This window comes from Homo sapiens, chromosome 10, assembly GCF_000001405.40.
Source record: "Homo sapiens chromosome 10, GRCh38.p14 Primary Assembly".
Classification (NCBI taxonomy): domain Eukaryota; kingdom Metazoa; phylum Chordata; class Mammalia; order Primates; family Hominidae; genus Homo; species Homo sapiens.
In genome coordinates, this window is record NC_000010.11 from 80,484,042 (window position 1) to 80,508,231 (window position 24,190).

General features: G+C 48.6%; 1 protein-coding gene across 9 annotated transcripts in view, besides 4 other annotated features; it reads left to right on the forward strand.

Moving 5' to 3' along the window:
• Positions 1 to 24,190, forward strand: part of TSPAN14 (tetraspanin 14) — a 68,322-nt gene that overhangs the window by 29,732 nt on the left and 14,400 nt on the right. For 8 of the 9 annotated variants that reach the window (NM_001351267.4, NM_001351268.2, NM_001351266.2 and 5 more), the window contains 3 exons: positions 5,176 to 5,273; positions 20,687 to 20,737; positions 23,187 to 23,333. In NM_001351267.4, the coding sequence (NP_001338196.1) occupies positions 5,193 to 5,273; positions 20,687 to 20,737; positions 23,187 to 23,333 (279 nt within the window). In that variant the 5' untranslated portion in view covers positions 5,176 to 5,192. The remainder of the gene's footprint in view (positions 1 to 5,175; positions 5,274 to 20,686; positions 20,738 to 23,186; positions 23,334 to 24,190) is intronic. The other variant, NM_001128309.3, reaches the window with a different exon arrangement.
• Positions 3,685 to 3,784: a silencer, noted in NCBI's record as "silent region_2547". NCBI's record gives its function as "represses an Ori minimal core promoter by ATAC-STARR-seq in GM12878 lymphoblastoid cells {active_cell/tissue: GM12878}" and the evidence as "EXISTENCE:reporter gene assay evidence [ECO:0000049][PMID:35858748]".
• Positions 7,712 to 8,006: an enhancer, noted in NCBI's record as "tiled region #2609; HepG2 Activating DNase matched - State 5:Enh". NCBI's record gives its function as "activates a minimal TATA promoter and a strong SV40 promoter by Sharpr-MPRA in HepG2 cells {active_cell/tissue: HepG2}" and the evidence as "EXISTENCE:reporter gene assay evidence [ECO:0000049][PMID:27701403]".
• Positions 13,313 to 14,276: an enhancer, noted in NCBI's record as "H3K27ac-H3K4me1 hESC enhancer chr10:82257110-82258073 (GRCh37/hg19 assembly coordinates)". NCBI's record gives its function as "activates a minimal SCP1, AML or CMV promoter by ChIP-STARR-seq in naive H9 embryonic stem cells {active_cell/tissue: H9 hESC(naive)}" and the evidence as "EXISTENCE:reporter gene assay evidence [ECO:0000049][PMID:30033119]".
• Positions 15,792 to 16,086: a silencer, noted in NCBI's record as "tiled region #10623; K562 Repressive non-DNase unmatched - State 6:EnhF". NCBI's record gives its function as "represses a minimal TATA promoter and a strong SV40 promoter by Sharpr-MPRA in K562 cells {active_cell/tissue: K562}" and the evidence as "EXISTENCE:reporter gene assay evidence [ECO:0000049][PMID:27701403]".

Consider the following 24,190-nt stretch of genomic DNA (forward strand, 5'->3'; position numbering starts at 1 on the left):
CAAAACCAGCCTGGGCAACATGATGAAACCCCGTTTGTACAAAAAATACAAAAATTAGCCAGGCCTGGTGGCATGCACCTGTGGTCCCAGCTACTCCAGAGGCTGAGGCTAGAGAATCACTTGAACCAGGGAGGCGGAGGTTGCAGTGAGCTGAGTGCGCCACTGCACTCCAGCTTGGGCAACAGAGCAGGACTTGTTTAAAAAAAAAAAAAGTGTAAAATAGTATATCTGGGTTGTCTTTAAGTTTTATTTCTAGTGACATTGAAAATTTTTCCTTTTTTTTAAATTTTTTTATTTTTTAAAGACCGGGTCTTGCTCTGTCACCCAGACTGGAGTGCAGTGGTGTCATCACTGTTCATCACAGCCTGGACCTCCCAGGCTCAAGCGATTATCCCGCCTCAGCCTCCCACGTAGCTGGGACTTCAGTCACCACACCCAGCTAATTTTTGTACTTTTTGTAGAGATGGTGTTTGGCCTTGTTGCACAGGCTTATTTTTCCATTTGTTACGTTATTCTTCCCTTTGTTATTCTTTCCTTTGTGTATAATGTTCATATCCTTTGTTCATTTGTGTACAACGGGGGTCTTTTTGAAGTATGGGTCTCTATAGGTTGCAGATATTTACTGTGTCATAATTTTTTCAGCTGCAGATAACATTTGTGTTTCCTTTTTTATTTTAATGTTACTTTTATTCATGGGGATTTTTTAGATTTGTTATCTGTTCAGGCTTGGTAGTCTTGTGCTTTGAATTGTTTTTTCCTGTTGCCTCAAAAGTTGAAGGTGGGTAAAATGGACTTGAAAACCCTGTTCTCTGGGTGTGGTGTGTGCATGTATGTGCATATGCCCTTTAAATCTGTAAGTTGTTATTTGCTTATTATTTAACTCCCCTCAAGTTGCTAACCAGTTATCTCACTACTGTTAAACAATTCTCCCTTTGCCCTGTTTTGAGAAGTTGGTATTTTGATAAACATGTGCCTCCTTCCTGCCACACTGATGCTTTATTTTCTATCACATTCTTAGAGTTGAGACAGTTTGAGATCCTAATTTTTTTTCTAGGCACACAAAATAGCTTTTGGAGATTCTTCTCTGCTGGAATGGTACCTAACATTTGTGAAAAGTTTACCCATCTCTACTTTTAGGAAGGTTCTTAGTCATGCGTGCGTGTGTGTGTGTAAGATAAAGAGTGTTGGTGTTCTTTGTGGATGCATCTGCTCATAGAGGGCTAACTTCTGCCTTCCTTCAGTATGATGTGGTTTAGCAAATGAGGTGAGATGCTAGGGACCATGGTCATTTTGGGAATCATTTTGGGTCAGATCTGGGTTCTAGTTTCAGCACTACTGCCTTTATCAGCCTTCCTGCATTTTTGTGTAAATGCCCTAGTAGCTCCGTTGGTGGCTCAGGAGCGCTCAGTCCTTTTTTCCTCCCTTGGGGTTCTGAAGCCTCCGAGCCATACCTGTTGTGCAGCTCCATCATTACCCCTCCACAGTCAGAAGGCCACCTTACACTGTGTAGGAGGATGTGGCTTAGGCTGGAGTCCTAATGAGTCTCCCATTTACCTTCTTCAGCTTAAACTATGTGGAGACCAGGATCTGCCAGCCCCACAGAGGGTCAGGACCTGCTTTCCAACCCGCTGGCCAACACAGCAGAGAGGGACAGATTGAGAGGTGCCTTCCCTCCCTGTCCCGAGGTTAGGTGGGTGGCAGGGGTGGGAAAGCGGGGAGCGGAGAAGGAAAACTGAAATGTTTCTTTTCAACAGTTTATTGCAATAGTTTCCTCTTCTGTGGGTTGAGGATGGGGGAAAAAGTGTCACTGGGACAGCCCCACCCCTAGACCTCATGGGGTTATCCTGGGTTGTACAAAAATGGCCAAAAATGGCATAATACTGGCGGTGCATGTGCTCTGGGTTGTAAGTGGCACGTGCATCAGGATACGTTGTCTGGGTGTGGCACACCTCTTCTTGGATGAGAGAGGGTTTCTTCCTAGTTATTCCGCAGTGTGGCCCCTAGTGTAGTTTCGAGTGTTGATGTTACCAGGGGGGAAGTGAGGGCTTGGAGTTTAGGACGTGGCTGTGAGAGTCTCTGACGGGTGTAGGTGTGGACCCCAGCATCTGAAGGCAGAATTGTTCCCTGGTTGGTCATGCGTGTTGGGTGGAAGGTGAAGCAGCAGATGGTGAGGGAAGCCAGGCGCCCTGTGGAGAATCCTTGCTCCAGAGCGCTGGCCTTCCTGCCAACTGCATCCCCATGAAGTGTTCCCTGTAGCCTTTCCATGTTCTGTACACTTTATGGGTGTGAGCTGCAGGAGACCAGGGACCGTCAGGTTGAGATTCCCTGTGTTGCCACAGGACAGTCATTTTGCAAAGGCCCCGGGCAGGGGAGCAGAGGTGAGCCACCAACACTGTGGAAAGCACACAGACACGTTTGCTAATGAGCTGGTTTCTTTGTGGAGCTTTCATCAAGGAGGAAGGGGGAAGTTTGGCTTTTCTTACTGCTTCCGGAGAGTTCTTTACAGGGTTGGGTTAAATGAGGTCAAAGGAGCACTCTGTAGGATCCCAAGGCATTGGATTCCATGGCTCGCACCAGCCCTCCTTAGTTCCTGAGGCCCAGCTCCCTGGAGGGCACAGCCTTCTACTTTCCAGGCTCCTCTGGGAACCACGAGGAAGAGAGGAGGCGGGATTGTCTTGTCCATAAAAAAAGAATAGAGTTTCTACCGCTTAGAACATTTTTCTGCCTCATAAGGCATTTCCAGCTGAATTGACAGTTCTCTGTGATAAATGTACTTGAGTTTTAGGTTAAAAATTTTTTTTCATCCTATATGCATTAATCCAGACATGGATTTATGGTTGGGTAGCCCAACCCTCCCCTGAAGGGAAAAAAAAGAACAATTTAAAAAGTCAAACCATTGGCTGGGTGTGGTGGCTCATGCAGGTAATCTCAGCAATTTGGGAGGCCCTGGCAGGAGGATTGCTTAAGGCCAGGAGTTTGAGACTAGCCTGGGCAACATAACATAGTGAGACTCCTATCTCTACCTACACAAAAAATTAACAAACCAACCCAGTGCTTTGGGACCCTGTAATTTGAAACAAGCTGGTGAATGCTAGTTATAGCTACCGTTAGGTTAGTTGCCTACACGGAGCCCCTCTCTGCGAATCCGTGTGCTGCACCACAGCTCAACAGGCCCGTCTACCTTGTAAGATCCCCAAGGGGACTGCTGCAGCCCTCAGTGCCTAAGCTGATACCTGATCTGCTGGGCATGGGTCTGCTGGCATGTCAGTATCACCGTGGGGGCGGGGGTGGGGGACTTGTCGGAAATGCAGATTCAAGGCTCCAACGCAGACCTTCTTACCAGAACCTTGTGTTGGGGGCTGGGATCTGTATTTAAAATAAGTGATTCTGATGCTGCCAGCCAGGACCCTCATGCCAGTGACATTGGAGCAGGTCACTAAAAGCCCCACTTTAGTTGAGGATGCTGAGGTCCTGAGAGAGCAGGGACTTGCATGGGCTGAGGTCATGTTGCTGAAGGAAGGCGCCTGTGTCTCTTCCTTGAGAGCTGCTTTTCTCCCTGCAGCCGCTCTGGCCCATACAGTGTTCAGGCCTTGTGTGTGTCCTTGTGTCCTGTAGAGTCCTTGGGCAACAGGTGGTTGTGTTCACACTCATTCTTGGAGGCAAGTTTTATGGATGTGCTCTTGTGATGGTGGGGCGGTGGTAGGGGGGAGGTGGGGATAGGGCAGCTGGGTAGCCGTCTGCCTGTCATTCTCCCCAGCTGGTTTCTGAGGTCAGACAGAAGGAGGGTCTGGTGGGTGAGTGGTGGTGTCTAGGCTGTGCCCGTCAATTCCACACCGTGGGAGAGGTGGAGCGGTCACAGGTTCCGTTTCCAGAGGAGTGTGGTTTCATGTCCCTTCTTGGCACTTCTTTCTCAGAACATTGCAGACCAGCAGCCAGCCTGCCGTGGCTGCCTCACAGGAAGGGGTTTTGCAAGTAGCCACTCCGTGGAAGCTGGTTTCTCACTGGCGGATGTGGGTGGGTCGCCTCCTCACCTCTAGGGTGGCCTTGTCTCCTTTCGCCTTGGGCTGTGTTACTCTCCTCACCTGGGAAGTGGGGGGTGAGCAGGGGGCTGGCATGGGACCACTGCCCTACGGGCCTCTGATCCTGTCCCTACCTGTGCACTTGAGGCACTCCCTCCTTCCCCACTGTTCAGCCACTGCATTGGGGGCAGGGGACCGTGGAGGACTTCGGGGTCCACCTGGATTGCCACTGGGGTTCAAAAAGGAAAGCAGCAAAGGTAGGCCAGGCCCTCAGAAAAGTCCCTCGGAAATAGCACCCTCCTGCAGTAGGATCTCTGAGGTTGCTTTGAGGGTTAGACACAGATAAAAAACAGTGGCCCCACCCTTCACTCTGTAGTTCACAGGGTCTTCCCACATAGGCTGTGTAATCCAAGCTTCATTACAGCCCTGGAGGACAAAGCTATGGCTATAGTCTGGGTTGAGGTGGAGTGGGGGGCGAGTGACAGGGGAGGGAGGGAGCAGGGGGATGGCTGCTGGCTGCAGTGGCCTTCCTCACCTCTGAGGGCTGAGCTTCAGAGGTTTTCAGAAAATGTTGCATGAATGAGTATGGAGTCCTCATCTTGGCTTTTCTTCACTGGGCACAGTTGGATCATGTCCAGACCTGCCTGCACGTTCATCTCCCAAACATGGCTCTTTGTGGTCAAGCCCGTTTCTTCTGTTGGCTCTGGTGGGTGGAAAGAACGTGGACTGTGAAGTCCCCTGTCCTTGGTTCCAATCCTGGGCTGTCATTGCTCTCTTGTCCTTGGGCAAGTCATGTGACCTTTCTGAATGGTTTCCTCAACCATGAAGTGGAAAAAAATCAATTCCCAATCGAGAGGTGATGAGATCAATATTTGGGAAGGCTCCAAGCCGAATTTCTGGTACTTAGAAGACACTTAAAAAGCATCTTTCTTCCTTTCAAAAATCTCCCTTATCCTTTCGTTTGTCTTTTGGAGAGCTGATTTAACCTGAGTTTTGCATTACCTATACCTGGCCTTGGTATCAGGCCTCTGCTTGGACCAGTAAAGGGTCATGAGGGAAATGATCGGGAGCTTTCTAGAATCCGCATATGAGCTGGTTTGGGGGAAAGGTTTTAACGCTGAGCCTGCCATCTCACTAGTCACACATCTCTCCGCAGATTCTGCTTCTCAGAAGATGCACTATTATAGATACTCTAACGCCAAGGTCAGCTGCTGGTACAAGTACCTCCTTTTCAGCTACAACATCATCTTCTGGGTAAGTGGATGAGAGCTGCCACATTCCCTTGTTTAGTCCTTCATTCAGTAAATTATGGTTTTCCACACACTCTTGATTTGCCAGACACTATGTAAGGCTCTGGGATAAGGTGGTGGGCAGGGTCAGTGACCCCTACCCTCACAGAACCAGTTGCAGCTGTGGGGATGGGGGAAGGCCAAAGGCCGAGGTGATTGAAAGCCAGAGTAAGGCCAACCCAGCCTTGGGGGTTCAGGAAGCCTTGGGGCTCTGGCCCAGATGCCTGTCTGTCTCCCCTACCTGCCCCCTGTTCCGATCCTGGGAGTGCCCCAATGAGACATCAGCAGCAAGGTACTTTGTGTGCATCTGACTATGGGCCAGGCCCTGTTTTAGGTTCTGGGAGGTGATAACAGACAAGGGCAATAAAGTCTTATCCTTGTAGTGCTTATGTGTAACCAAGAGCCATGTTAGCCTCCTGAGCAACAGGACAGTGAGGGAGAAGCTCCTTGGATAGGGTGACCAGGGACAGGCATTCTGTGGAGGTGACTTGTGGGCTGAAAACTTGAGTACTAATGAAGAGGCAGCCAAGCAGGAGTCTGGGGAAGAATGCTCCAGATAGACAGAATGGCAGCTGCAAAGGGCCTGAGGCAGGAATGAGCTTTGTGTGTGCAAAGGACAAACAGAAGGCCATGTGGCTGGAGCTGAGTAAGTGGGAGAAGGGACACAGGTGGGGACAGAGGCATGCAGGATTCAGGTCACAAAGGATCATACAGGTCTCAATAAATAGTTGGAATTACTTTCTACTGCTTTAAATAATTATTGGAAGGCTTGTAAGTTGGGTGGTGTGATCTGATTTTGTAGTGACTGCAGAGTGAGGGGATGGATGGTGGTACCAGGTTCTGAGATGGGATTTGGGGTAGAAGGGGTACATTTAAGTTATCTCATAGCCAGCCTCAGGGAGATACTATTTCCTTTGTCGTTGACTGTCCTGGAGATGGAAGTCTTGGCCAACCACCATCAGAGGAAGGGCTGGACCAGATGAGAGCATGGAAGATGGGTGTGTTGACTGAGAAGAGGAGAGGTCTGAATATTGAGCCCTAGGATGCTAGAGGTTGGGTCGAGGAAGAAAACCCACTCCCAAGTTGGCTGAGAGCGAGTGGCCTGTGGTAAAGGGAAGACCAGGAGATTGTGTATTGTAGAAGCCTTTAAAGTAGAAAGGCACAGTCAACCATGGTGCAGGGAGGTGAAGAAGGATGAGGACAGGACATTGGTAATGGCTTAGACAAAGTGGAGGTTGTTGATGTTGACGGGACCACTGTGAGCTCTGGGTAGGGGATCTGGGCGGGTGGATAGAAACCCAGCTGGAGTCGGCTGAGGAGCCAATGAGAAGTAAAGAAGTGAAGGGGATGACTCTTGACAGTTCTTCCAAGGATGCTTGCCTTAAAGAGGAGAAGAAAAATTTGGACACTGGCTGGAGATGGTCAAGGGATTAAGGGAGATATAGCATGTGTTTATTGCCAGTGGGATTGGTCCAGGGAGAGGCAGACATTGATTCTGTGCAGGAGGGCCTGGGGACATGATCATGCACAGAGTCTTTGAAAACCATTAAACATAGTTTATGAATATCTGTGTGGGGGTAGGTGGAGAAAGAAGGACAGAATGAGTGGCCATGATGTCACATTTTGCTTCTACTGCAGATTTGGCATCTCCTATGGGGACTGGAACTCTTGAAAACAAGGCAGACTTACTAAGCCTTCTCAGCCTTGCAAGCTTGATTTTACAGCTTCATCTCCTGGTGATTTATCTTAGTATGTTTGGGGATTTTCTGTCCTAGAGAAATAAGGTGGGATTCAATGGCTTGGTCTTTTAGCCCACATCTTTTCCTGTGGTCCGATAACTTTGCACCAACATCTGCATCATTGTCCCTGGAATAGGGCATTGCTGGATATTTGATGTGGTGCCTCTGGGTCCCTCTTAATGCGGGAGTCCATGCTCCATCCTCATGATGTATGGCTTCTCAGAGCAGCATTGTTCCCTGTCTGGAGAGCCCTCTGGCCTTACCTGGTGTTCCCCTCCACCATCCCGCACCCCCAGGCAAGTATATGGTGGAGGTTCGCTGGGCTAGGCAGGCAGTCTGTCACTTGTGCACTTGGACACCCAGTTGCTCCTCTCTGTGGGTGTGCTGCTTGGCTTTGTGCCTCAACCTCCAACTCTCATCTTGATTTCTGCAGCTAGAGCAGCACTCTCCCACTACTGCTGTGGCTGAGGGCCCTGGTATCTTCATTTCTTCAGAGGGTTTCAGGAGAGAGTTTTTGACATCAGGGAGCTCTACTAACTTGCCCAGTAACACGTTTGCAGCACTATATTCCAGTAGTGGAGTGCATGAATCCAGCATGGTAGCAAGTCTGCTTGGTGGTTGAAGGGTGCTGCAGTGTTTTTGGGCTTTTGCAGATTTGGCAATGTGTGTTGAAAGTTAATCATTTTTCAGTTAGTGTGCCTTGGGGCAGAACAGGAAGGAACAAACAGGAACAGTCAGGAAGACCAAACATGAGAGAGCTTGGTTGGGAAATAAGAGTGGGAGGCCAAGTGCCTTGCCTAGGGGGAAGCTGCTGGACCCTCCCCACTGGGTTCCTGGTAGTGATGTGCAGTCTTCATTTGCAATGGAGCTGGCAAATGGGGTGAGGCCTGAGATGGGCGCACAGACCTCTGGGAAGCTCACGGTGTAGCAGGAGGGTGCCGGGCTGGCTCTGGGCACCCAGGGCCTCCCTGAGCTGAGTGACCTGGCTAAGCCTCAGTGTTTTCCTTGTGATGTAGCACTCTCAGCTGCCTAGTGTCTGCCTCAGGTTGCTGAAAATGTATAAAGTGGAATGCCCAAGCCCTTACCTCTTCAGATAAGTTTTCTTTTTTTTTAAATGGAGAAAATATGAAAGTAGGATAATAAAATGAACTCCATGTTCCCACCATCTAGCTTATTTGATTTGTATCCCCCTGCCCAACCCTTTGGATTATTTTGAAGCAAAGCCCAGGTAGATGATTTTGCAGTGTTTTTATTTGTATTTTGTTTAATGAATTAACAGTGAGCAGTGGTGCAGAAGGATTGCACGTGTTGATGGTGGACACTGGGCTCAGCAGGCAAGTTTGAATGTGCAGAAGGCAACTTGTTGCTTCTGTGACCAATCCTAGGTGTTGGGACAAATATGAGGTTTTATTTAGTAGTTTGCCCTCACTTAGAATTATTTTCACAGGCCTGGCGCGGTGGCTCACATCTGTAATCCCAGCACTTTGGGAGGCCGAGGCAGGCGGATCACGAGGTCAGGAGATCAAGACCATCCTGGCTAACACGGTGAAACTCCGTCTCTACTAAAAATACAAAAAATTAGCCGGGCGTGGTGGTGGGCACCTGTAGCCCCAGCTACTCAGGAGGCTGAGGCAGGAGAATGGCGTGAACCCGGGAGGCGGAGCTTGCAGTGAGCCAAGATCGCGCCACTGCACTCCAGCCTGGGCGACAGAGCGAGACTCAGTCTCAAAAAAAAAAAAGACTTATTTTCACAATAGCATTCTTTATAGATAAATACCGTTTGGTACCTAATAGATTTTTTTAAGCTCTCTTTCTGACTTTGGGGCCAAGGTTTTCCCGGGATTGTTAAAACCTGCTTGGGATAAGAAATGTGGATGCCACTGATGTTTGCATGTCTGTTCTGAACCTCTTGGTTTACAGAATGAGAATGGAATGGGCTTCATGAGGTTCTTATCACAAGGATGTTAGGGAAAATATGCTTCCATGCAACATGGCTTTTTGAGAGCGCTAGTGTTTTTTACTTACTGAAAAAATCATTCTTTGGTTGTGCTAGACCTGTTTTTAGTGCAAAAATCTCACTTTGACTTAGGAAATGCAAATCAAAACCACAATGAGATACCACTTCACACCCATTGGGATGGCTATTATTTTAAAAAATGGAAAATAACCGATGTTGATGAGGATGTGGAGAAATTGAAACCTTTGTGCACTGTTAGTGAAAATGTAAAATGGTGCAATTGCTATGGTAAACAGTATGGTAGTTCCACAAAAGTTAAAAATAGAATTACCGTATGATCCAACAATTCCACTTCTGGGTATAACCAATAGAGCTGAAAGCAGGATCTCGAAGAGATATTTGTACACCTATGTGCACATTCATAGCAGCATTATTTACAGTTGCCAAAAGGTAGAAACAACCAAAGTGTCCATAGATGATTGAGTGGATAACCAAATGTGATATACAGATGTGAAAGAGCTTAAAAAGGAAGGCAGTTCTGTCACATGCTACAGCATGGGTAAACCTTGAGTACATAGTGCTGAGTGAGATAAGCTAGATGCAAAAAGACAAACACTGTATAATTCCACTTATATGAGGTGCCCACAGTAGTCAGAATCATAGAGACAGGAAGTAGAATGTTGGTTGCTAGGAGCCCGGGAAGGGAAGATTGGGGAGTTGTTGGTTAGTGGGTACAGAAGATCTCACTTTGATGTGCAGAGGAAGGGAAGCTGGGAGAGGCGTACACTGGAGGAGTGGCATCTGGCTCTTTGTCTTTGTTCATTTATACCCCCCACTGGTTCCACAAAGCACTTGGACTTTTCTAAGTTTGCCGAGTGAATCCTCTAGAGGGATGATTCCGATAATGTCTGCAACTCCAGGGTTGGTTTCCAACACAAGCATTGGCTTTAATCTGCATGCAGAGGTTGGATGAAGTCCTTGCCTGGATCTGCTTCAGAGATGGATTAAAAGTGAAGAACTGAGACCCTTTCTAAATAGACTGTAGGCCTGTGTTACACAGGAAAGTCCTTTGCTTGCCTTTAGTTTAAAAAAATTTTTTTTAAATGACATTCTGCCATTGGCTTTCTCAGTGACTTGGGTCTGTTTGAGCCTACCCTTGTAAAATGTGTGAATTCACCTCTGCGCAGCCTGTTTCTGAGTGAGATGAGAGCCATGGACATCTGTGCTCTGTGACCAGCATGGCTTAAGGCCTATTCCTTCAAAGTCACAGATGCCTCCTGTGAGTAGGGCGAACATGTAATCTGTGGTTCAACTTTTGACAGTAAGAGAATTTTGAGAGAGTCTTGCGAATTTTGCCAGAACAACAGGTGTACCCCAGGCCTCTCCTGTGCAAACCTGGGCATGTGGCCACCCTGCACAAGAAAGGGAAGACAAGCCCAAGGTGGAAAGATCAACTCTCTTCCCTTACCTCTGTGTAGGGCATCTTTGCAGGTGGGGTCTTATTCTCTTCCTCTGACTTTTATTATGCTCCTCTTTATAGAGGACTTGCCACCTCCCAGGATAGTCTGCTGTTCCTGGGCTCTTCTGACTGATGGAAAATTGCCCTTATTTGAGCTGAACTCTGCTCCTTTGATATCAGACCCCAAGGCCTGATCCCTAGATCTTCAGACAAATGATTTCTTCATTTCCATCTCAGTAATGCAGTCAAAAGGGAAAAGTCTAGTGTTTTAATAATGTATATAGTGTATTTTTGTTTTCACTGCTGGGAAGATGTCCCTTTTTCTCTTCAGGTAGTATTTAATCAACTTTTGTAATTTCGTGGAAATTCATAAAGGCTAAACAAGGCATCCCAGGTTTACTGCATTTCCTCTTCCATGCCCCAGCGTCCTGTCTGCAGGCACACAGTTTCATATCCTGTGAGTAGTATCCTTGCAGTCTTAAGATACGCATTTTCACATCAGCATCTGCTAATATAGAACATCTACTAATATAGAACATTCCAGGTTGCAACATTATCTTTCCAATTGTATTTTTAGAAATTCCCATATTGGACATTTAGGTTGTTTCCAATTTTTTTGCTATCCTAGATAAGGATGCAGTGATTAGTTTATGTAATACGCATTCTTCCCTTTAGGGAAGGGAGGGAAATTATTTGCTGAGATAGATTCCCAGGAGAGATTAATTGGGTCACAAGGTGTGTACATTGTTTTGACCTGCCTGAACATACAGTCAAAATCACATCCCCAGAACGACTGCCCCAATTCATAGGAAGTTGACTGTCTTTTGGCACTGTGTGTGTGTGTGTGTGTGTGTGTGTGTGTGTGTGTGTGTGTATGTACATGTGTGTATTTCATCATTTAGGCTTGCCAAGGCAGAGGGCAGGGATTGCTTAATCAGAAACTCCACTAGAACTTAAGGAGTGGCCTGTGGTGCTGATGCCTGCATGGCCTCAGCCCCTGATTTCCCCAACTTAGGCAAGTGTGAGGCTGGGACCACCAGTTGGGATTACTGAGGAAGGGATGTTCAAGGTGCTCTGAGATTATTGCCTGGCACACAGGACTGTTAAATGCTTGCACGTACTTTCAAGTCTTAAGTAGTTTGGTGTGCTTGTATAACTCTGCCTCCTTGGCTGGTAAATAATCAGCATGGCATAGTCTACAGGAGTGATTTTTCTTGTTTGTACTTTTTTTCTTTAATGGAAATCCTTTTTATAATGATCACTTCTGTTGATGTCTGATTTAGATAGAATAACATTTATTCATTTCAACTGTACAGTTCAGTGACAGCTGTACATGCCACATAATCACCATCATCACAATGAAGATATAAAACATTCCCATCACCCCAGAAACTTTCCTTGTGCCCCTACAGTCATGCCTGCCCCACCCTACCCCTTCCCTGGGTGATGGTTGTTCTGCCTCCTGTTGCTATAAATTAAACTCTTTGGTATCTGACTTTTTTTTAGTTAGGTGGTAGTGTCTCTGTTGTTTTTCTGTTTTTAATTACTTTTTAAAAATCTTTTGAAATAATTTCTTATTTTTTAATTGTACAATATACGTAACAGAACATTTGTTATTAAAACCATTTAAGTGTATAGTTCATTGGCGTTAAGTACATTCACATTCACCTTGATTGGTGTTCTTATTTTTATTATTTTTTCCTTTCTACTTGGGATTATTTTGCTTTTTCTTAGCTACTTAAACTGGAAGATTAGATCACTGATTTTTAGATTTTTTTCCTAATATAAATATTTGAAGCTGTACATTTTCTGCATCCCACACATTTTGATATGTTTTCACTTGATTTGGTAAAAATAGTTCGCATATGCATACTCTATGAACTGTGTCTCCTCCCACCTCCAGGCTGACTTCAAGAGTTTCTCCTTTTATTCTGGATTATAGCAATTTTATACATGCTGGTATAGTTGTCTTTGTGTTTATTCTGTTTGGGGTTCATTGGGCCTTTGAGATTTGTGGGTTTATAGTTTTCATCAGATTTGGAATATTTTAGCCATTATGTTTTCAAACGCACACCCTTTTTCTCCCCTTCCCTGTCCCATTTCCCTAGGACATTGTTTATCTAGGGCACAGAGGCTCGGTTTAGTTTTTTATTTTGTTGAGTGTTTTACCATTCTCCTTTAGTTTCCATAGCTTTGTCTTCAGCTTTACTGATCTTTTCTTCCATACTGTCTCATTGGCTGTTAAACCCATCTAGTGAAGTCTTCAATTCTAATATTGTAGTTTCTATTTCTAGTCGTTACATTTAGGTATTTTTTATGTCTCCAATTTCTTTCCTTATCTTATTTATATTTTCCTTTAAATTCCTGAACATATTTGCAATACTTGTTTTGAAGTTGTTGGGATTTCATCTTCTTTGTCATTCTTGTGTCTTCTATTTACTGAATTTTTTCTCTTATAGCTCACTTCTTTCCTTTTCTTGCCTATCTAGTAACTTTTGATTGGATATTAGTTATAGTTTTTCTACTAAGTATTCTTCCCTAACAGTATTAAGTCTTTTGTGTCTGACATCTTTCATTTAATATCATATGTGAGATTCATTCATGCAGTTATACGTAGTTGTAGATCATTTATTCTTGTTGTGTAATATTCTATTGTGGGGATATATAATTTGTGTTATTTACAGTTTTAGGCTATTAAGACCTGTTACAGTGATATAAAAACATACCAGTGTTGGAGACCTGAGTATAGGGTATCCCAGGCTTTGTGTGGCTGAGCAGGATGACATCCCATCTTTCCTCTCCAGGTCCAGATGGTTTTAGTGTGATAGTTTACAGCTGAGCTTTTCAGACTATGGCTTGCAGGCCAAACCTGGCCTTCCGCCTGTTTTTACACATACAATTTTATTGGAACACAGCCACACCCATTCATTTATGTATTATCTATGGCTGCTTTCCCATTATAACAGCAGAGTTGAGTAATTGCTACGGGGATCATCCAGCACACAAAGCTGAAAATATTTACTATTTGGCCCTTTACAGAAATGCTGACCACTGCCTTAGTATCTTGATTTTCTACCCACTGTTAATCACTGTGAACTGTGCCAAAGTTAGGTTGGGGGGTTCCCTCTCTCCTGGGGGTACTGCCTATCACCTCCCTTGAATGGCTGTGCTCCCTCCGCCTGCCTTCATTTCCAGGGCCTTGACTCAGGTTCCTGGGCGGGGCTCAGTGGGGGTCAACTCTGTTATCTGGCAACACAGAGACAGCTGTGGAAGCTGCCCCTGGAGCCCTCTGCACAGTCCTTCCCCACATTGGGGCCCTCACATGGGTTTGCTGGCTCTGCTGGGAGGGCACATGTGTTGCCTTTTCTCAGAACCACCCTTCCGGCAGGAGGAAAAGCTGGGGTGTGATAGCTATGTGACCCCATGCAAGGCACCTCCTGCTCTGGGCTCTGTTTCCCTCTGTCATAAGGAAGCCGAGCCCTAGCATCCCTTCTGGCTCCCAGACCTTCCGAACTCCCACTGACAAGTGGCTTGGTTCAGGCTTTCAACACAGGACAGATAACTGCAGCTCCTCCCTTGGCCCACTGGGCTCTCAGGCCAGGTTGGGTCTGGGGTCTGCACCCTCTGGTCCTTTTTGGCTTCAAATTCTATTCAATCGTCAGCATTTCAAGTGGCCACAAGCATCTCTGTTGTTTCCTGAATGCCCCAGGCCTGGATTCAGGATTTCTTATTCTGGAGAGTACCAGGACCCTGGGGTTTCCGTCTGGTGTAATTTATAATGGCAAAACTCAGCCAGTGGGAGGTGCATGGGTCCTTGCTGCTTATTTTGCTGATTGACAGACTGAGGCCCAGGAGAGGGATGGCTTCCTCGAGACCCTGACTCTGTGAGTTAGGGACAAAGCTGAGACTCAGTCCTGGCTTCCTCCACTCTCTGCTGTTTTCTTTCCATCATCCTTTCCTACCTCACTTGAAAAGCCTCCAGAAGGCCGTATTTCCCTAAGCTCTGCTTCACTGTTGTCTCCAGAAGCCCAGTAAAACAGGTGCCTCTGGAAAGCACTTGGTCTTAGGACAGAAGCTGGTGCTGGAAGTAATTGGGGGTGGGGTACAGAACACCAGTGTCAAGAGAAGGAGACTCTGTCTTCAGGACAGCAGATGCTTGTGGCATATCCTTGAACGCCCCTCACATCTCTGCTCTGTCTGCCGTGCGGGAGGGCATGGCCACCTTGAGACTGGCTCTGTGCCTGGAGTAAGCATGTCACGTAGGATCTTCCTTCAATCTTTACAACCTTCCTGTGACCTAGGAAAGATAATCCCTGTTTTGTAGAGAACATAGGCTCAGAGAAGGTCTTGGACTCGCATGAGGCCCTGTCACTAGGTAGCTACAAAGCAGAGACTGGACCCAGGGCCGGCTTTGTTCAGGGGAAGAGGCTCTGTGAATGTCAGGCTGAGTCAGCGTGTGGATTGTGCAAGACCCGGAGGCCAGCAGGGCAGAGCCTGAGAGCATCGCCTGCTGCTGGTGATTCGCCTTGATCTTGCTGAGGAAAGGCCTCTGGGGCCTGCAGGAGTTGCCAAGTACTTTTATACACGCTTAAATGAAATCTTGCAAGGAGCCAAGGCCATTAAATCATGGGTGAGAGGCTGCCTTTGACCTGCTTGGAGCTGCATCTTTCTCCTCCAGTTCAGCAGGGCCTGGCCGGGTGTCACTTCCTTTTGTGACTTGATTGTGCTTGGGTAAAGTACCACAAGCTTGCTCGTGTGGTAAGTGGATTTCTTGTGTCTGGACTCTGGCTGGACCAGCCCAGAGTGCCCCAAGAGGACCTCCTGCCTTTCGCAAGGTCATTTGCCTAAGGTGAAAGGTCAATATTTAATCTTCACAGTGACCCACAAAGAGGCCCTGCTGCCTTGTCCACCTGCCCTGGTTGGGACACAGCGTGGTCTCACTGCCTGACAGTGTGGGTCATTTGGCTGTAGAGCTGCACAACCCCAAAGCCCCCCTGTGGAATTCCTACATCCCCGGGCTCTTGTGTGAGTGCCCGTGTGTGGAAGGCAGCTGCTCTGTGGGTGGTAAGATACTGTGTTGCCAGGGTCAGAGGCATCCAGGTTTGGTTCTTAAGTCTGCCACCAGCTAGCCGTGTGACCTTGGGCAAAGGACCAAATTGCTCTACATTTGAGCTTTCCCATGTGAAAAATGAGGGTAATTGAGCCAGAGTTATGGGATATGGAGGGATAGCCTTAGGTCCATTAAGTATTTAATGCAGCGCACAGCTCCCAGGAAAGGGCAGCTATTCACAGTGACCATAGCAGTTTAGGTGCTCGCTGGTCCAGCAGAGGAGGCTGGCCTCTCCTCAAGCTGGGCCGGAGCTGGGCCCCGTTCTTCAGTAGGTAATTCAATTAGGTCATGGGAGGGAGACAAAGAAGGTCACTTGAGGCTGGAGGGCACTCAGCTGAACCCTCACTCCCAGAAGATTGGCAGCCAGGGCTCACAGCAGCCAGGGCTTACCTGGCCTGGCCCCATGGACCATCTGCTGCAGAGTTCCAGGGAAGGGTTCCGTGGGGTGAAGCGGGCCAATGACCCAGTTCATTCATGGGACCGTTATGTGAGCTCTCAGGCAGATCACTTCCCCTGTCTAGTCCTCCCTCAATCTCCTGGTCTCTGAAACCAGGTTTGTTGGTACTCAGAGTTCCTGCCCTGGGCCACTGTTCATTGAACCCATGATCTGACATGTGATCCCCAAGTTCCTGTCTTTCCGGTGTGAGTTAACTTTAGTTCTTCCTTTAAAACAGAATGAAAACAACACAAGGCCTTATTCTTTTTTTTTTTTTTTTTTTTTTTTTTTTTTTTGAGACGAAGTTTTGCTCTTGCTGCCCAGGCTGGAGTGCAATGGCGTGATCTTGGCTCACCGCAACCTCCACCTCCCAGGTTCAAGTGATTCTCTTGCCTCAGCCTCCTGAGTAGCTGGGATTATAGGCATGTGCCACCACGCTCGGCTAATTTTTTATTTTTAGTAGAGATGGGGTTTCTCCATGTTGGTGAGGCCGGTCTCAAACTCTTGACCTCAGGTGATCCGCCTCCCAAAGTGCTGGGCCTCCCAGCACTCGGCCTCCCAAAGTGCCGAGATTTCAGGCATGAGCTACCACGCCTGGCCAAGTCCTTATTCTTAGAGCTGAGAGAAAGAGAACTGCACGCAGTGGTGGGGAGCTGGCTTCCCCAGTAAACACAGAGTCAGCCAGGGCTTTCCCTGGGGGCCTTGAGAAGAACAGCAAGCGAGGGAGGGTGTGGTCTGTGGGCCATATGCAGAGCGGTAAGCGGCCCTACAGCGGCCCTGCATGTGGGGAAGGGGCGATTGGAACAGAGGTGAGCAGGAGCAGGCCTACCTTTGCATGGGCACTGTGCCCCTGAGGGTGGGGATATGAACTGCTCTTGAGGTCGAGGGTCTTTTTTGAGAACTTGTGCAGACCAAAATTCCTTTTGTGAAACCAGTCACCTCTTCCTATTGTATCTATTTAGTCACTATTTAGTCACCTAGGAGAACAAAACAACTAAAACAGCACCTCAGCGTGAATTCACAGAAACCTATTAATATAGATGGAACTGACGCTGTTTTTTTTTTTTTTCTTTTTTTTTGGGAGACCTGGTCTTACTCTGTTACCACCCAGGCTGGAGTGCAGTGGTGCAATCTCACCCTTGACCTCCCAAGTTCAAGCAGTCCTCCCACCTCGGCCTCCCTGGTAGCTGGGAATACAGGCATTTTTTTTTTTACAGCTAATTTTTTTAGAAAACCTTTTTTTTTTTTTTTTTTTTAAGAGATGGGGGTCTTGCTATGTTGCCCAGGCTGGTCTTGAACGCCTGGGCTCAAGCAATCCTCCTGCCTCAGCCTCCCAAATTGCTGTGAGCCACTGTTCTCAGCCTGAGGCTGGTATTAATGTGGGAAACAATACCCTTAGAAGTCAGACTTAGTAGTCAAGGTGAGAGAAGGGGTGAGCTGTGAAGTGCAGTGTGGAGGAGAGAGGGGAGCTCCAGCAGTGGTTTTGTTGAGTGTCCTTAAGGTAGACTTTTCTCACCTGTCCCATGTGGCCCCACAGGATGAGCGGACTGTCATGGAAAGCTGTTAGGCAGGGGCTGGAATGTCTGTTGGGAATGCTGGATGGGGCATCGGCCTCTGGGCTTGTTCTGCTCTGACCATAGGCAAATGCCCCTGTATAGAGCTTGACCCATGCACCTGGGCCAGGCTGAGCTTTTCTTGGCCCACATTTGCTCTGAATGCCTTTGGATTGAATCACACCCAGAAGTGTGCCTGGGGGTAGCTAGAAGGACCCAGGCAAGCACTGTCCTGGTCTTGAATCCTGGGGAGTCACTCATGCCTGCTCTGTGCCTACTGAGGGCCAAGCCCTCCTCGTTGTTGGGCTGCAACTCTGAACAAAACAGGTAACATCTCTGGCCTCAGAAGGGCTTAGCTGGGGAGACACAATAGAGAGACAGCCCCTGTGGTCTGGGATCAGTGCCGCGAAGAAAATCAACAGAGGAGGTCACACATGGAGGATGGGGAGCAGTTCCACTCAGGGTGGTAAAAGGAGGCCTTGAACGCAGTGAGGGAGGAGCCAGGAATGGATATGGAGGAAGAGCATTGCCGGCTGAGGGAACAGTGTCCAGGCTCTGAGGCAGGGGTGATTTTGATGACTTCAAGAAACAAGAATGTCAGGGTGGCCCAGGGAGTGGCGTTGGAGCAGGGAGGTGGGAAGGAGATGCCGTGGGAGATGTGTGTGAAGCCTGGCTGCAGAGGCCCTTGGGGGCCATGGGAGAGACCGTGCATTTTCTTCTAGGTCTGCGTGGGAAGTCACTGCAGAGTTTCGAGGAGGGGAGTTCCCAGCTCTGTATTTTTGAAGGGTCAGTCTTGTTGCTTGGACCAGTGAGGAGCCCCGTGGGATCCAGACTCGAGTGGGTGGAGCCGGGGCAGGTGGGAGCAGAGACACTGGAGGAAAGCTGGTCGAATGCACTGTGTATTTGGAGGCAGAACCAGCAGAGGGTCCTCTGGGTTGAGTGTAGGGCAAAAGAGAAAGAAGGCACCAAGCCTGGGGTCTGGGTTTTCTCTCTTACACTTGCTGGGTGGACGGTGGTGCCACTGAATGAGACGGAGAAGAGTTGGGGGGAGCTCGGTTGGGGTTGGGGGACCAAGGCTGCGTAGTGGGGCACAGTAAGAGTAAAATATCGTTAGCTGTCTTAGGAGGACAAGTAAAGTAGACATTAGGGTATTTGACCGGGGGCATGGCCAGGACTGGACATCTGAGTGTGTCACTCAGCAATGTTTAGATGGTATTTAAGCCTTGTGAATTATGAGATCATCGAGAGGGCTCAGGGCAGGGTGAAGGAGCTAGGACTGTGAGTGAGGCCCACCAGCATCTAGAGGGGTCTGAAGGAGGAGGAGGAGGAAGAGCAGGGAGGAAGGCAGTCAGGGGCATATGCTTGGGGTCCCCGAAGCAGGGTGTGTCAGTGGAATGGTTGGAGGAGGAGAGAATGACCAGCTGTGACCAATGAGGTCAGATACCATGAGGAAAAGTCTTGGCCTCCAGCTTTGGCAAGAGGGAGGCAGGTCCCTGGGGGCCTTGAATAAGATGGGTGGGGATGGAGCCTGCAGGATTCGGCAGGTGGTGACCAGTCACCTTCAGGTTGCTCAGCATGCCAGTGTAAGACACCTGGGGAGGGAAAGGAAGCGGTCATGCATTCTATCAGGAAAACCCTTCCCAGCTAGTCAGTTCAGGGGGAGGACTGAGAAGCGGGAAAAGGGTGTGGTGTGATATGGTAGAAAGGGCTCTACCCCCTTGGCTTGGTGCTGTATCCAGTACTTGAGACGGTATCTGGCACTCGGGATGTACTCCGTGAATATTTGTTGAATGAATGAGTGAGGAGTGAATGAATGAACTGAGACTTGTGATTCAGCCCTTCTCCCCACTGCCTGACATTTTGGTCTTGGCCCTCCCTGGGCCCCAGTGCTCTGCTTTTGTAAAATGGAGGGATTGGTTCTTGGTGGGGGTTCTTTACTTAGTGTTCACAGACCATTGTGGGAGCCAGCAGTGGGAAGCTGTGACCCCTCTAAAATTTCATGCAAAATACTGGGCATGTGTGCATTTTCTGAAAGTGATCTGTGATCCAGAAGAGGTTGGATCACAGATCACTTTCAGGTTGGATGAGACTTCCTGGGGCTTTCCTTGAGCCCTTTCTTTCCATTCTAGCCCCTGGGGCTAGTTACTGAGTAAAATAGGTAGAAGTGGCTCAAGGCTTGAGATCACCGGTAGTCATAGAGAAGCGTGGTCCTGTTATTTATCGTGAGATGGTGATAAATGGCAGTGAAATGCCAGTGTGGTGTAAAGTAGTCACAGAAAAACAGGAGGCAGCTTTATTAACAGAGCCCACGTTGTGTTTTGTTGTATATGGAAAAGCCCTCCCTGGTTCAGGAACCTGTGTGATGTATTTGGGTGGGCGCCTTTCTGTTGTGGTGCACATGGGGTATGGGTTCCTGCAGGTGGGAAGTTGGGGTTGGGGGTGGTGCTCCTCTGGGGCGAGCTCATTGCTTAGAGCAAGCCTATTTTCATTCTCTAGCTAAAAGCCCAGCCTTTCCTGAGCATAGATGCGCCCCCTGCTCATTGTAGTTAACAGTAGGGAGGAGGCTCAGCCCTGGCCAGTGAATGGCCTGGGCCACTGGATAGCTGCTTATCTGTGCCTGGAGTCTATCTCCAGGGCTGGAGAGCTGGGGTGTGTGGCAGAGATGCTGGGCTGTTTCCCCCTGTCCTCACCCTGTGGTGGTGCCTGGTCCTATGCAGTCTCATCCTGTGTTGGGAACCTCTGAGGGGACCTGGGTCAGCCCTCCCAAGGGGTGATGTCTTCGTATACACCAGATAGTGCACTGAAATGAGTTCAGGGTTGCAGAAAGGGGAAGAAGCAGCACAGCCTGATGTCTGTGACCCATAGTCTCTCCAGGGTGGAGTCCGCTCTGAGATCTTTTCCTCTTCCTTCCCTGGGGCATAGGGTCATCTGAGGTTGAAGGAGTTTGTCCAGATATTCAGGAAGGTAGGTTCAGGTTATCTGTCATCTGCGGGGCCTGAGGGGCCATGTGGGATGTGAGCTAGGAGCATGCCCTACCTGGCAGTGTGGACTTTGCTCTGTGAAGCATGTTCACAGTGCTGGTTTCCAACCTAACTTCCTTCTCTCTTTCCTCTGCCCCGCTTAGTTGGCTGGAGTTGTCTTCCTTGGAGTCGGGCTGTGGGCATGGAGCGAAAAGGTAGGTGTAACTGTCGCAGGACACTGAGCTTCAGGCAGCCAAAACCAGATTCGTTGGACTTCATTTTCCCTCCTCCAATCTGTTCCCTGACAACAAGCATTTCTTGTGCAGTGTCAAGGTGTATAATTGTCAATCTTTACAGACACAGCTCTTGCGTACTCTGCCCACATGATAGTATTGGCTGCTGGAGGTATGGGCTGGGCTGGTTGGGTTTTGAGCCCTGTGGATGTGGAGAGCTCAGCTCTTGTATGCAGCTGTGCCCAGAGCAGGCTTGGGCAATCCAGCTTCCTGACCCTGTCTGTGCCTCTGGGAGCAAGCGGGCAGGTCCCTGAATACAGGCATGCTTATTGTGGAAGCCCTTATCCTCCAGGATGAGAAAGAGCAGGCAGCAGGGAGCGGGGCTGGGTGACATGCCCCCAGGGTGCCCTGTGGGGCAGGGGTGGGCCTTTAAGCACCTCTGGGCCTCCTTGCCCAGCCTCAGGAGGAGAGGGGAGGAGTGGAGACCTGGCTCCTACTGTCGGGAAGGACATGGTGCAGTTGCGGCTCCAGGAAGGGGATGAGACTGGATATGGGCAGGGTGGGGCTGTGCTGCTGCTTGTTGCCCTGTGGCAGGGGTGCTGGGGAGGCAGTGAGGGCTGAAAAAGGCCAGGGAGGGAAGAGGGGAGGGGAGGGAAGCAGTAAGGTGGAGCAGGCCTGGCCAGAAAGAGCCAGGAATAAAGCTTCCTCTAGTGTCTTGAGCCTAGGCCTTCTTCCTTCAGTGGAACCTCCCTTTGCTTCCAGCAGGAGGAGGCAGGAGAACCTAGGTCTACAGGCTTTCCTGCCATGGTCTTAGGGACTGGATAAGGCCCACCTTCAGGTTTGGGCACCTTCCAAGTGGCCTGTGAACCCCTAAAGGGCAAGAGCTGGGGTACGATGTCCCTTTGCCCCAGTGACCCAGAAGCAGGTTCAATCTGTGCCTCACAGCACCACCGTGTGGCTTCCCCTGGGACTGCAGCCGCCTAACTGGGTGTGGCCCTGAGTGTGGAGCTGGCTACTACAATTCCTTTGAATCTGTCGATCTAAAATAAGTGAAAAGGCCAGAACCTAGTTTAGAGAGAGTTTATTCAAGCACACATGTTGAGGACAGGCCTACCCAGGAAGCACAAATTCCAAAGAATGGAAGTCAGCCTTCCTGTTCGAAATGTAGGAGCTTGGGATCATTTATCCAGCCAAAGCCAGACAGAGACTCTGTTGCCCAGGCCGGAGCGCAGTGGCTGGATCTTGGCTCACTGCAACCTCCGCCTCCCTGGTTCAAGAGATTCTTGTGCCTCACCCTCCCAAATAGCTGGGATTACAGGCATGTGCCACCATGCCTGGCTAATTTTTGTATTTTTAGGTAGAGATGGGGTTTTGCCATGTTGGCCAGGCAGGTCTTGAGCTCCTGGCCTCAAGTGATCTGCCCTCCTCGGCCTCCCAAAGTGCTGGGATTACAGACGTGAGCCGCCATGCCCAGACACCTATGTATGTCTTGATGCTTAGTCACAATGTTCTGATTAGTTGAGGCGGTCTTTTTCTTTCAGGAAAGGTATGTTTAACATTCCACACTGAAGATGTAATTGTCCCTGGGTCTTAGATGATATCTGATCTGAGTTAGTAAAGAACAATGAAGGAAGCAGTTAAACTATAACAGAGATCAGTGACTGGAAGGGGGGCTGTGGTCTCTCCGGTCCCTTAGTTCAACCATAATCTAAGAAACAGAATTGCAAACATGCTACATGACTCAGTCTCCAGGGCTTAGCTTCCCCCTTGGCGTTTTACAAACCCTATGGAACTGCTCTGCCCATTGTGTGACTGTGTTTATATTTAAATTGAAATTGAATATAAATTAAAATTCAGTCCTTCTGTCTCATTAGCCACATTTCAAGTGCTCCACGATACCTGTGGCCAGACAGTGGGGGTATAGTCTAAAACACCTCCATTGGTGTAGAAACTTCTATGGACAGCATTGCTTTGGCCTGCCCTTGGGCGTGTTTTCTACTAGAGTGTTCATATTGAGGCTGTTTTCATCTCAGAAGAGTAGTGTTCTTCATTAATTAGGTGCCAAATTGGGGGACTAACAAGGTCAGCCACCTGGGTGACCAGTTTGACCACAGGCCACAGGGCCCCGTTTCCCTCCAGGCCTGGAATAGGCACCCCACAGGCTGCAGAAGAAGCCTGGTGGCTGCCTAGGAGGAACTTGTAGCGTAGGTGGAGGCCAGGAACACTTTCTGGGACCTGAGGTGGGCAGGGATCGCCTGGTCGGAGGGGCCCCTAAGGGCATGGATGGGGCCGGACTCTGGCCTGGCTGTCAACAAGAGGGCTGAGCCTGGGGAAGCAAGTCCCTGTTTTCAGTACCACCTGCATCCCCCAGGGCAGCATCCTTGACTCCCCTTCTGGGCCAGTGCTGCCCTGCTTTCTCTGTCTCTTTCAGGGTGTGCTGTCCGACCTCACCAAAGTGACCCGGATGCATGGAATCGACCCTGTGGTGCTGGTCCTGATGGTGGGCGTGGTGATGTTCACCCTGGGGTTCGCCGGCTGCGTGGGGGCTCTGCGGGAGAATATCTGCTTGCTCAACTTTGTGAGTGGCCACAGAGACAAGAGTGGGATAGGATGCAATGGGGTACAGGCTCTGCTGGGCAGGATTATATGTTACCTGGTCAGAGCAGGTGGCAGCTCTTAGGAGCCTCCCCTAGGCCCCTGCCTGGGAGCAGGAGGCAGCCATTTGCACTCTACTGTCTAGAGAAGCTGGTTCCTCCCAGCAGGAGAATTAGGTACCCTCTGGTTTTTAGCCCTGGGTGGGAGGAGCCAGCTGCCTATAGGCCAGCTCTACTCCCCGCTCCTTTGCCTTTTATCTTCCTTCAGAAATTCTAAAAGAATTGTTTGTCTGCTACTGTCCTTTGCCCTTCCTGGCTAAGATCAAAAGATGTTGCAAGTAACCTTAAATCATTTCCCTCCTCCAAGGATGTGTGAGTCTGTTGGATGTACAAGTCAGAATCCCAAATTTCCTGGCAGAACTGCAGATTACTAAGAGTTTAGTTTTATATTTAGATACAAATTCATGTTTAGATTTATTCAGTTAAATAACACCTGGTGGGGAAAACACATTATCATATTTTGCAGTATATTGTTTGTTGACTTCATTAGATCAAGCTTTCTTTTTCTTGGACATAATTTTAAAAGCAAAACTATGGGCTTTTTGTCCTAATTTTTTCTCTGGAAAAAAAAAAGAAAAGCTATGTTTAGCATCTTGCTTTTATATGAACAGAGATTACGTTTTGGCAGGCCTTGTGTGCATATGTGTGTTTCCTTTTTCTTTTCTTTTCTTTTTTTTTTTTTTGATACCGAGTCTCGCTCTGTTGCCCAGGCTGGAGTGCAGTGGCGTGATCTCGGCTAACTGCAAGCTCCGCCTCCCGGGTTCACACCATTCTCCTGCCT